The sequence below is a fragment of the Homo sapiens genome, chromosome 1, assembly GCF_000001405.40.
Source record: "Homo sapiens chromosome 1, GRCh38.p14 Primary Assembly".
Classification (NCBI taxonomy): Eukaryota; Metazoa; Chordata; class Mammalia; order Primates; family Hominidae; genus Homo; species Homo sapiens.
Genome location: NC_000001.11, coordinates 29,367,400 through 29,381,262, shown reverse-complemented (window position 1 = coordinate 29,381,262; position 13,863 = coordinate 29,367,400). Strand labels below are relative to the sequence as shown.

At 43.1% G+C, this 13,863-nt stretch overlaps 1 annotated feature.

Moving 5' to 3' along the window:
- Positions 1,432–1,726: an enhancer, noted in NCBI's record as "tiled region #1590; K562 Activating DNase unmatched - State 12:CtcfO". NCBI's record gives its function as "activates a minimal TATA promoter and a strong SV40 promoter by Sharpr-MPRA in K562 cells {active_cell/tissue: K562}" and the evidence as "EXISTENCE:reporter gene assay evidence [ECO:0000049][PMID:27701403]".

Sequence of the window (13,863 nt, the reverse complement as noted above, 5' to 3'; positions counted from 1 at the left end):
GAGAGCAATGGCACAATCTCAACTCACTGCAAATTCCACCTCCCAGGCTCAAGCAATTCTCCTGCCTCACCCTTTCTAGTAGCTGGGATTACAGGCGTGAGCGACCATGCCCAGCTGAAGGTAGCCTAAATTTTATGATTATATGGAAGTGCACATTTTCCTAAGGAGAAGATCCATAGTTTTCACCAGATTCTCAGAGAGATCAGTATTAATCAGGGTAGGCTAGTGTTATGCTATAGTAACAAACAGCCCCAAATCTCACTGGCTAGGAGTTTCTCTCTATTTCTTTATCTCTCACAAACTGCACTGAAAATCAGGTGATTCTCCAACGCTGCTGTCTTCCATGTGTTAACCCAGTTATCCGGGTTGCTTTGATCTTATGTCCCAACTGTGTCAACATGCTGCCTCCATGATCTCTAACAAAGAATAAGGGAAAGCTGGAAGATCCTGCAGGGGCTTTTCACTGCTTCAGCTCAGAAGTTTCACATGTCAAGTCTACTCACTGTCCATTAGTCAGAACTAGTCATAATGTCTGCCTAACCACAAGGGAAGCTGGAAAGTATAGGCTGCCATGTACCCAGGAAGGAGAGGAGAGCTGGATATTGATGAACACTGGATATGACTGGGACCTCCTCTCCTTAAAAAAATAAGTTAGGAACACTAAGGTTAGAGTAGTGAGTCCCAAAGTCTGAATCATAGACTACCTTAATCTACATTATTCTGAAAGCTTTGGGGAAAGGCACACTCCCAGGCCACCAGCTTGGAGAGTTATATTCTGTGGTCCAGGAATCTGTGTTTTTGACAAGTCTCACAGACAAGTGTGCAGAACAAGTTTGGCAACCCGTAGAGTAGAAGGTCCTCTGGTCACAGGGCTAGGAGTTGCCTCAGAGAGCATCCTGGGTTGGAATCTTTTAAAAAAACTTCCAGGCTTCTGGTTCCAAAATGGTGGTGTCGTAGCAAGCTGGCTTCACTCCCCCTCCATAGAAAACCAGAAAGAACTAGACAGCACTGAGATGATCGCCAGCAATATCCCAGAATTCACATATAAAGAGGAGACAGTTCCCAGGGCCATGAGAAGCAAAAAAACTCTGAGTAGATGCTAAGAGAATTGGACTTCCATATCCATAACACCCCTCTCCCAAACTGCCCAGCACCAAGTGCATGGAAAATTTCCCCAAGACTCACATTTTCTACACCAGAAAAAGTGAGATTGAAGTAAACAACCAACTTCCCCACCATCTTTGGTTTCCTGGCAGAAGATGTGTCCCTGCCTCAATCCATGAGAAGTCTCAGGAATGCCTGAAGGGAGAAATATCCCTGCAAACAGTCAGAGACAAAGAGGGGAGGCAGGACTACCATCCCCAATTCTGGAAACTCTGCTTAGTAACTCGGCCAAAGGAAACACCAAATCAGAGTGGCCATTAAGCAGCACCATGCTGTAGGAGGTTCATTCCACAGATTCCCAGGGCATGAACCCCTAGCCAGGCTTCCTGCACTACTCGGGTATTCCCCTTTGGGACCTTTCCCCAGTCAGTAAACGCAGCGCTCTAGTTGCTTATTTAGAACCAAGGCAAGCATGTGCTTAAGGCGCCATCTAGTGTCAAAAAGAGGCAGCAACAGAATGGGGAAAAAACAAAGAAAATCAACAGGTAAATTACAAACTCTCTGAGCAAGAGTATCTAATAAAAACCAAAACAAGCCAGCCAGAAAAGACTACAAAAAATAACTAATCCTTCAACGAAAAGACATAGACATATATCCGCAATAAACAAAAGCAAAACAGGGAACCATGACCTATTCAAACACAAAAAGCAAGGAACCAGTAACTAACCCTAATAAGACAGTGATATGTGAACACTCTGACCAAGAATTCAAAATAGCAGTTTTTTAAAAACTCAGTGATCTCCAACATAACACAGAAAAGCAATTCTAAAATTTATCACAGGAATTTAACAAAAAGATTGAAATTTTTTAAAAATCAAACAGAAACCTTGGAACTGAGAAATACATGTACTCAACTGAAAAACTCATTAGACGTTCTCAACAGCAGAATGGATTAAGGAGAGGAAAAAAAATCAGTTAGCTTGAAGACATGCTGTTTAAAAATAATCCACAGTCAGAGGGGAAAAAAAGAATGAAAAGGAATGAAGATCATCTACAAGACATGGAAAATTACCTCAAAAGACCAAATCTAAAAATGATTGGTGTTCAAGGAAGGGAGTTGAGCAAGAGCAAGAAGTATAAAGCTTATTCAAATAAACAATAACAGAAAACTTTCCAAAACTTGAGAAATATATAAATATCCAGCTCCAGGAAAGTCAGAGAACACTATGTAGATTCAACCCAAATAAGACTACCTCAAGACATATTAATCAAATTCTCAAAGGTCAAGGACAAAGAGAGGGTCCTAAAAGCAGCAAGAGAAAAGAAGCAAATAACATATAAAGGAGCTCCAATTTGTCTGACAACAGACTTCTCAATGGAAACCATACAGGCCAGGAGGGAATGGGGTGACATTTTCAAAGTTCTGAAAGAAAAAAAAAAAAAACTGCCATCTAAGAATACAGTATCCAGCAAAGTTATCTTTCAAATATGAAGGAGAGATAAAGATTATTCCAGACAAACAAAAGCTGAAGGAATTCACCACCACCAGACCCATTTTACAAGAATTGCTAACAGGAGTTCTTCAATCTGAAAGAAATAAAAATAACATTCAAATAGAAAACACTTGAAATATAAAACCAACTGGTAAAATTAACTCCACAGAAACCCAAAATACTCTAATACTGTAATTGTGGTGGAAATGAATTGTGAAATCCACTCCTAACTCTACTGTGAATCCCAAAAGATAAATCCTATCAAAAATAATAATAGCTACAGCAACCTGTTGAGATATTCACAATATAAAAGTATGTAAATTTGGACAACATAACATCAAAATTCGGGGTGGAGTTGAAATGTAGAGGTTTTTTCCCATTTGTTCTTTTTTTTCTGTCCTTTCCTTTGTGATCTAAGATAAGTTGTCATCTCTTCAAAATAATTTGTCATATCTATTAGATGTTTTTATAAGCCTCATGGTAACCACAAAGCAAAAAATAAATTAAAACATACTACCAAAGAAATAATTTCATCACAATGTGAGTCAACAAGAAAGAAAAAGATATATAAAACAACCGAAAAAAAAACAAGCAACAAGATGGCAGCAGTAAGTCCTTACTTATCAATAATACTGAATGTAAATGAATTCAATTCTCTAATTAAAAGGCATACGGTGGCTGAATGGATAAAGAAAAAAGACCTAAGTTTGTGCTGCCTTAAAAAACATCCACTTCAGACTGGGCACAGTGGCTCATGCCTGTAATCCCAGCACTTTGGGAGGCCAAGGTGGGTGGATCACCTGAGGTCAGGAGTTTGAGATCAGCCTGGCCAACATGGTGAAACCCCGTTTCCACTAAAAATACAAAAAATTAGCCAGGCGTGGTGGCACACACTTGTAATCCCACCTACTCGGGAGGCTGAGGCAAGAGAATTGCTTGAACCAGGGAGGTGAAGGTTGCAGTGAGCCGAGATCACACCACTGCACTCCAGCCTGGGTGACAGAGTGAGACTCTCTCTCAGAAAAAAATAAATTAAAAAATCGACTTCACCTATAAGGACACACATAGACTGAAAATGAAAGGGTGGAAAAAGATATTCCATCCCACTGGAAACCAAAAAAGAGCAGGAGTAACTATATTATATTGCATAAAATAGACTACAAATCAAAGACTGTAAAAAGAGGCAAAGGGCCAGGTATGGTGGCTCACGCCTGTAATCCCAGCACTTTGGGAGCCTGAGGCGGGTGGATCATGAGGTCAAGAGTTCATGACCAGCCTGGCCAAGATGGTGAAACTCCGTCTCTACTAAAAATACAAAAATTAGCCGAGTGTGGTGGCAGGCACCTGTAATCCCAGCTACTCAGGAGGCTGAGGCAGGAGAATTGCTTGAACTGGGGAGGTGGAGGTTGCAGGTTGCAGTGAGCAGAGATCACACCACTGCACTCCAACAGCGAGACTCTGTCAAAAAAAAAAAGAAAAAAAAGGCAAAGAAGGTTACTATAAAATGGTAAAGGGGTCAATTCAGCAAGATGATATAACAATTATAATTGTCTATGCACCCTATCCTAGAGCTCCCAAGTATATAAATTAAACATTGATAGTTCTAAAGAGAGAGACAGACTGCAATACAATAATAGTGGGAGACTTCAACACCCCACCCCCAGTAAAGACAGATCATCCAGACAGAAAATCAACAAAGAAATATTGGAGTTACACACTAGACCAAAAAGACCTTACTGACCTTTACAGAACATCTCACCCAATTGCTGCAGAATACATATTCTTTCCATCATCACATGGAACATTTTCCAGAATAGATTATATCTTAGGCCACAAAACAAATCTCAACAAATGTTTAAAAATTAAAATCATATCAAGTATCATTTCTGACCACAGTGGAATAAAACTAGATATCAATAACAAGAAGAATCTTGGAAAAGACACAAACACATGAAAATTGAACAACATGCTCTTGAACAACTGGTGGGTCAGTGAAGAAATTAGGAAGAAAAATTTTAAACTTCTTGAAATAAATGAAAATGGAAATATAACATACCAAAATCTGTGGGATACGGCAAAAGCAGCACTAAGAGAGAAGTTTACAGCAATAAACACTTATATTTAAAAAGTAGAAATAAACAACTTGTGATGGTTAATACTGAGTGTCAACTTGATTGGATTGAAGGATACCAAGTACTGATCCTGGGTGTGTCTGTGAGGGTGTTGCCAAAGGAGATTCACATTTGATTCAGTGGGATGGGAAAGGCAGACCCACCCATAATCTGGGTGGACACAATCTAATCAGCTGCCAGTGTGGCTAGAATATAAGCAGGCAGAAAAATGTGAAAAGAGGGACTGGCCTAGCCTCCCAGCCTACATCTTTCTCCCATGCTGATGCTTCCTGCCCTCAAACATCAGACTCCAAGTTCTTCCGTTTTGGAACTTGGACTGGCTCTCCTTGCTCCTCAGCCTGCAGACAGCCTATTATGGGACTTTGTGATCCTGTGAGTTAATGCTTAATAAACTCCCCTTTATATATATATATCTATTCTATTAGTTCTATCCCTCTAGAGAACCTTGACTAATACATAAACCTAATCATGCATGTCAAGGAACTAGAAAAGCAAGAACAAACCAAACCCGAAATTAGTAGAAGGAAAGAAACAATAAAGATAAACAGGAATAAACGAAATTGAAACTAAAAAAACAATACAGAAGATCAATGAAACAAAAAGTTTGGGTTTTTTAAAAAAGATAAAAAATAGGCAAAGCTTTAGCTAGAATAACTAAGAAAAAAGATAGAAGACCCCAATAAATAAAATCAGAACTGTAAAAGGAAGCATAACAACTGATACCACAGAAATACAAAGAATCATTTGTAACAGTACAAAGACTGCTACAAACAACTATATGCCAATAAATTGGAAAACCTAAAAGAAACAGATAAATTCCAGGACATGTACACCCTACCAATGAAGAAATAGAGAACCTAAACAAACCAATAATGAGTAACAAAATCAAAGCCATAAGTCTCCCATCCAAGAAAAGCCCAGAGCCTGATGATTTCACTGCTTGCTGAATTCTACCAAACATTTAAAGGAGAACTCATACCAATTCTACTCAAACTCTTCAAAAAATTTGAAGAGGAGGGAATACTTCCAAACTCATTTGACACGTCCAGCATTACCCTGATACCAAAACCAGACAGACACAACAAGAAAAGAAAATGAGAGGCCAATATCACAGATGAATAGAGATATAAAAATTCTCAACAAAGTACTAGCAAGCTGAATTCAACAACATATTAAAAAGATCATTCACCATGATCAAGTGGGATACATCCCAGGGATGCAAGGATGGTTTGACATACACAAATCAGTAAATGTAATACATCACATCAACAGAAACAAGAACAAAAACCATATGATCATTTAATAGATGCCGAAAAAGCATTTGATAGAATTCAACATCTTTGTGATGAAAACTGTCAACAAAATGGGTATAGCAGGAACATACCTCAAAATAATAAGGGCCATATGTCACAAACCCACAGCTAAATCATACTGAATGGGAAAAACTGACAGCATTTCCACAAAGATCTGGAACAAGATGCCCACTTTCACCACTTTTATTCAACATAACACTGAAAGTCCTGGCCAGAGCAATTAGGGAAAAGAAATAAAGGCCATCCATAAGCCACTGAAAACCACCTATGGGGGAAAAAAAAAGGAAAAGAAATAAAGGGCATTCAAATTGGAAAGGAAGAAGTCAAATTCACCTTGTTCACAGACAGTGTGGCTTATACTTAGAAAAACCTAATGACTCCCCCTAAAAAACTGTTAGAACTGATAAATTCAGTAAAGCTGCAGGATACAAAATGGACATACAAAAATCAGTAGGATTTATATATGCTAACAGTGAACAACCTGAAAAAGAAATCAAGAAAGTAACTCCATTTACAATAGCTACAAAGAATATAAGATAACCTAGGAATCAATGTAACCAAAGAAGTGAAGGGTCTATACAAGAAAAACTATAAGACACGGATGAAAGAAACTGAAGAGGACACCAAAAAATGGAAAGATATTGCATGCTCATGGATTAGAAAAATTAATATTGTTAAAATGACAAAACTACCTAAAGCAATTTGTAGATTCAGTGCAATCCCTATCAAAATACCAAGGACATTCTTCACAGAAATAAAAAAAATCCTAAAATTTGTATGGAACCACAAAAGACCCTGAATAGCCAAAGCAATCTTAAGCAAAAATACCAAAGCTGGAGACATCACACTACCTGACTTCAAAATATACTGCAAAGCTATTGTAACAAAATAAGCATGGTACTGGCATAAAAACAGGCACATAGACCAACAGAACAAAATTAAGAAGCCAGATATAAACCCACACACTTATAGCTGACTCATTTTCAACAAAGGTGCCAAGAACATTCAGTGGGGAAAGGAGTCTCTTCAATAAAACGGGATAACCATATGCAGAAGGATGAAGCTATACCCCTATTTCTCACCATTCCCAAAAATCAAATCAAAATGGATTAAAGACTTAAATCTAAGACCTGAAACTATGAAACCACCAGAAGAAAACACTCTAGGACATTGGTCTGAGCAAAGAATTTTTGTGTAAGATCTCAAACACACAGGCAACCAAAGCAAAAATAGACAAATGGATTACATCAAGCTAAAAAGCTTCTGCGCAGCAAAGAAAACAATCAACAAAATGAAGAGATAACCCACAGAATAAGAGAAAACACGTGCAAACTATTCATTTGACAAGGGATTAATAACAGAATATATAAGGAGCTCAAACAACTCAATAGCTAAACAAATAAATAATCTGATTTTAATTTTAAAAGAATCAGAGTCTTCTTTTTGTCTTAAAAGAAGACATACCCGGGAGCTTGCAGTGAGCCGAGATCATACCACTGCACTCCACTCCAACATAGGCGACAGAGCGAGACTCCGTCTCCAAAAAAAAAAAAAAAAAAAAAAAAGAAGACATACAAATGGCCAGTAGGTATATGAAAAAATGCTCAACATCACTAAACTTTAGAGAAATGCAAATCAAAACCACAATGAGATATCACCTCACACCTGATCAAATGACTATTATCAAAAAGACAGGCTTGAGACCAGCCTGGCCAACATGGTGAAACCTGTTTCTACTAAAAATACAAAAATTAGCTGGGCATGGGGGCACATGCCTGTAATCCCAGCTACTCAGGAGGCTGAGGCAAGAGAATTGCCTGAACCCGGGAGACAGAGGTTGCAGTGAGCTGAGATCGCGCCACTGCACTCCAGCCTGGGCAACGCAGAGAGATTCTGTCTCAAAAAAAATAAAGCCAGGGAATAATGTATGCTGGTGAGATGTGGAGGAAGGGGAACCCTCACACACTGTTGATGGGAACGTAAATTAGTACATGCACTGTGAGAAACTGTTTTTTCCTCAGAAAACTAAAAATAAAACTACCATGTGATCCAGAAATTCTGCTACTGGGTATATGCAAAAGAAAGGAAATTAACATAATGAAGAGAATAAGCACACCCATGTTTACTGCAGCACTATTCACAATAGCCAAAATATGAAATCAACCTACATGCCCATCCATGGGTGATCTAATTTAAAAAAAAAGTGGTACATATACACAATGGAATAGTATTCAGCTATAAAAAAAGAATGAAATCCTGTCATTTGCAGTAACATGGACAGAACTGGAGGTCATTATATTAAGTGAAATAAGCCAAGCACAGAAAGACAAATATCACATGTTCCCACTCATATGTGGGAGCTAACAAGGTGCATCTTATAAAAAGAGAGAATAGACTGGTGGTTACCAGAGGGTGGAAAGGAGAGGGGGAATGAAGAAAGGTTGATTAGTGGGTACAAATACAGTTTGATAGAAGTAAGACCTGGTGTTTGGTAGATCAGTAGGGTGACTATAGTTTATGATAATTTATTGTATATTTCCAAATAGCTAAAAGAGTATAATTCAGACATTTTGAGCAGAGAAAAAGGCAAAGGAAGAGGCAAATGTCTAACCCTGAATGTTCCGAACTGCATCCCCAGGAGATCTGATTACCTGGTATTTTCCAGGGCAGTGGGGCTTTAAGACGCAGGATAATCAAAGTACATCAAACGGCCCCATTATGGCCAATTCTCTCTTTGCTGCTGTTGTTTAATTTCTCCTGGAGAATAAGATTGGAAAGGCAGTGCTAATTTAATTTGCCAGAATGAATAAAGATAAGACAGTAACAGAGGGTGATGAAGCACTGGGAACACATAATTCACATCCCCGAAATCCAGTCTCCTTCCATCACAACTGCCTTCCCCATGCTGGAGCTAATTAAGCCAGAATGATGGCAGTTAATTATTTTCCTCTGTGGCTGGGGAAGGCTGGCTTCCCCGGCCAGGCAGTGGGCATGAGGGGGTTTGTAAAAGGGTAAATCAGATTAAAAGAAGGAACAGGGGCTTGTGGATCCCCTAGGGGCTCACAGATCTCCCTTACGGCGGAGGGAGGTGGCACTTAGATAACATGCTCATTAGCTAAAGTTTCACCAATCAATCCTGGTCTCTGGAGTCCAGTACTCCTGGAAGATGCATATGGGTGTATGTGAAAGTGGGTTCATCATTAAGCCCAACACTAGGCAGTCTTGCCAGGCTGGGTCCAGAACACAGAATGGTGTTCACAGGGACGGCATCACTATGACCTAGGCAGGCATCCATGTGTGCAAAAAGGCTTTTCATCCATGCACACAGGGGTGTTGCTCATCAGAGAGAAAAAAGAGTAGCTTCATGGTGCATACTGGGGTCCTCATTGCTAGAAGAGCACATGGGTATGCTTGGACACTGGTTCAGCCCCATACACATGAGTATGATATAATTAGAAGCACCTGTATTCAGACAGCCCTGAGGGTCCCTGGCCCACTGCTAACTCATTGCATGACCCTGGTGAAACTGCTTCTGTAAGCCTCAGTGACTTTGTAGAGTAGGGATAGTCATAGCACCCGCTTTAAAGAGTTTTGATGAGGACCAAGAGAGAGTGCCTGAAAGAGCCCAGCTCAGCACCCAGCCCATGGGAAGGGCTCTAATCATGAGTTATGATCCATGTTATAGTATCATGATGATCACATGGCTTCTCCTTTCTGAGTGCACGTGAAGGGTGGGCCCTCTGGGCTAGTTCATGCACTTCATGGAGAGCTGTATTTATGGCCATAGGGGAAACCTTTCTGTCACATCCGAAATGCTCTTTTGTGATCCTCCTTTGTGACTCGGATAAGAAGGTGGAGAGCCAGCCGCTCCTTCAGGGCCAGGAAATTTGGACTTTATGGAAAGCTGGCAGTCTGTTTTGCTGAAATTGAAGGCAATTTGCAGCAACACAAAAGGGTGCATTAGAGAGGGAGGGCCGGGAGCCCCTGCAATGGGGAGGCTGGAGGCTGGAAAAGAAGGGGATGAAACTGGCCCGGAGAAGAGCAGTTTAAAATGCAAACAAAGCATGAACACATCTGCCAAGGACTGGGGTTTCCATTCACATGGAATGAAGGACCCATGATGCAGGTGCCTTGTCTAGCTGATGGAGCAGGGGAAGGAAATCCCCACAGGGGCCAAGCCTCAGTGGGCTGGGCTTTCATTTCCTTTTTCATGGAGTCCAAAATGAGAATAGCTGGTGTCGGGGCCTGGGACTGGACTCAGATAGGGACTGGGATTTTTTCTTAACTGAGGGAAAAAGTAGAGTCACAGTCAAAGATGAAGGGGGTTTGGAGCTGGAAAGGCATCAGCTCTAGAGTAGATGCTGGCTGTGAGCAGGAGTTTCAGGGAGTAGGTAAGACTGAGGACAGCAGGTGATTCCCAGCAAAAAGCTCAGGACTGTGAAAGGGGAGGATGGGACGTGGCTCCAGGTTTGTGAGGAGCCTAGCAACTTAAAAGAACAGGAGCCTGGATGGCAGTACCCCGACCCCAACCCCAGCTCACCGTGGGTTTCTGGGACCCCTTGGGAGCCCAGGAAGTCCCAGATGGAAGAAATGTAATAAAACTCCACTACTCCAGTTTGGAGAATCATAGAGTATTGGAGATGAGAAAAGTCTTAGAAATGACCCAACCCATAACCATACACAGGAAATTCCAAAGGCTAGAGATGGGCAGTGACCTGACCAAAGTCTCTGCAATAGTTTAGATTTCTTTCAGCAAATATTCACTGTCCTCCCTCTTGAGGCAGAGTATATTTCTCTGCCCTACTGGTGTAGAAGAGCTTGGCTATGTGACTTGTTTGGGCCAAGAGAATGTGAGTGGAGGTGACAGTTGCCAATTCTGAACCAGGTCCTGAAGAAGCATCTGCTCACTCTCTTGGCCTGGTGCCATTTTTGATGAGAAGAACACGACCTCGGGAGCCACAACCCACAGAAGATGAGCGACACATGGGGCAGACCAAAGCCTGGCCCAGCCTAGAGCCAGCCCCTACCCCAACTTGAACCTGGAATGGAGCTGCCCTGGTCAATCCCCACACCTGAGAGCAGGAAAAATAAATGCCTACTGCAGTCAGCTACTGTCCTGGAGGTGGTGTTAGACAGCATTACAATAGCAATAGCAGCCACATAGCAAGTCAGGGACTAAGCTGGACACACCCCAAGCAGCCCAGGAAGAATAAAGGACTCATTCTCTCCCACCAACTCTGTCCCCTGAACAGGCCATCGTGCCTCTGGATAACATGATAGCCCAGGTCCAACTCTTAAGAAGCGGTATGTGGCCACTGCAGTGGAGTGCGCTGTCTCTGCGAGCACCTGTTAAAGCTCACACTGCCTGGAAGGGGTGAACCAGCCTCTCTCCCATTAGCCCAGCAGCAGGGACTCCTCTCAGACCAGGCAGAGATGCTGCAGTAATGGTAGGTGAGCCCAGCAGGGGGCCTGGAAGCAGAGCAAGCCCAGGAGGGGGCTGGACAGCAGCACCAGGGTGAGGGGTGGGAGGCTGAGTGCTGGCAGGCACAGGAAGGAGAGAGGGGCAGGGTGCTCGAGAAACGCCGTGTCCCGGGGGCCACTCTCTGCAGGGAAGAGCCCCTGGGTATGGAGTGAGTGGAGGGAATTTGACCCTCTTCCAAGCACAGGGCTCCATGGCCCCGGGTGGCCAGTGACCTCACTGCTCTGAGCCAGGGATGGGGATAAGAATGTCCCCTCCAAGGACTGCAGTGGGGAGTGAGATAACCTTTAACAGGTAACATGCTCAGCCCAGCTCCTGATAGACGGGCTCCCTCCCCAACCCCCGGTCAGGACACCCCAGGGGTCAGGATTGTGGGCTCCCCAGTCACACATCTGGGACTCGTGTCCTGCTTCACTGCCTCTGGCCGTGTGATGCGGGGCAGGTTCCTCTCTTTCCCTGAGCCTCAGTTTCTTCTTCTGCAAAATGGGGATAATAATAGCACCTCCCTCCGAGTTATGGTGAGGACACTGGGAGATAATCCTCATAAAGTGCCTTGCACAGGACCTGGCACAGAAAACTTGCTCCATCAAAGGCAGTAGGTGTCGCCCCAAGCTGGGGGGTCTGAAGGGGACTTTAGACAGTGACGTCTGGACCCACAGAAGGGGTTGTTATTCCCACAGCTCATTTGCTGTGGCTGCCCCTTCCAGGATTCACCGGTCCACAGCTATTCTTCTCCAGCCCCCAAACACCTCTCTCTCCCTCCCCATCCAGCTTTGACAGGGCAGGTCTGGCTCTATGTGAAAATGGATTTTTCTGTTCACATGAAAATCTCATGGAAGACAATATCTTCTTCTTCTCCTTTTTTTTTTTTTGAGACAGAGTCTCACTCTGTCACAATATCTTCTTTATAAACAAACACTCTGTCCCCATGTATGGGGGGATTATTAACAACAACTACCTGAGAAAACGTGGCTCCTCCTTTCAAGCCACATTATGTTCAAAGCAGTGTCCACTCCACCATCTGTTACCTGTTTCCTTTCTCTTCTTCTGAATGAGAGCAGCCTGTGTTCATTGCTATGGACTCAATTGTGTGCCCCCAAAAATTCCTACGTTGCAGCCATAACCCTCAATGCGATGGTATTTGGAGATGAGGCTTTGGAAGGTAATTAGATTTAGATGAGGTCATGAGGGTGGGGCCTCATGATGGGGTTAGTGCCCTTATAAGAAGAGACTCCAGGGAGCTTGTGTGTGCTCTCCTTCTCTCTCTTGCACTCCCTCTTTCTCAGTCTCTGCCATGTGAGGACATAGCAAGAAGGCGGCCATCTGCAAGCCAGGAAGAGAGCCCTCACTAGAACCCAACCCTGCTGGTACCCCGATCTGGGATTTGCAGCCTCCAGAGCTGTGAGAAAATTAGTTTCTGTTGCTTCAGCCATCCAGTCCATGGTACTTTGTTCTAGCAGCCCAAGCTGACTGACATTCCTTCTTGTAAAAGATTTGCTAGGGGAGATGAATTCAGGAAAAATCACAAACTCCTGAAAAGATGACGCTTGGAAAAAGCATTCATTGTGGTGTGGAATAGGGTTGAGTGTGAGTGGGTAAATCCAGGCAAGGGCACGGGGCCATCATGGTGGAGGTTGAATTGTTTTCCTGGAGTTCTGTCTGCAATTAATTACCTGCTCCTGACTGGTGTTCATGGCTTCGTGAGTGAAATGGTTGAAGTCTGGCTGGGTCCGTCAAGCCCCATAAGGCAGGCAGGTAAAACCCTACCTGTATCTTACCTGTCCAACTCTCTGGAGCCCAGTCCCCTTCTCTATCCAACTCTACCCTTGGGCCTCCATGCCCTAACTCGGGTCCTATCTCTGGTCCACGGTCTTGGCATGGGGTCTGTGAGTCTTACTCTTGCTAGTGGCTTGGTCCAGCCTCTTGGGTTTATCCCACTGCAAAGCCAGGCAGACAGCCTGGCAAGTGGATCAGGGCTGATTTCACACCATCCTCAGACCTGGCCAAGATGGATCCTTGCCCTGGGTCTCAGAATTTGATGACTGTTCCTCAAATTCTGCTCTGCTCCTCCTCTGGCCATGCCTCTCCTCATAAGATGAGGAATCTGTGTGGCCAAAAGGACATGACCTTTGGAAACTAACCCCCAATTTAGACAATAGTTTGGGTACCTGAGACTGCAGCACTCCCTGCCCAGATATCCCAAAGCCGACTTCCCAAGCCCAAGTGGGCCTTGTCACTGGGTCCATCCTCCTGAGGGTGGCGTGTGCTGCGGGTGGGCACACAGGCCTGGGTGGGGGTGGGGGTGTGAAAAGAGTTTGAATGCATGCACTGGTGTCCACATG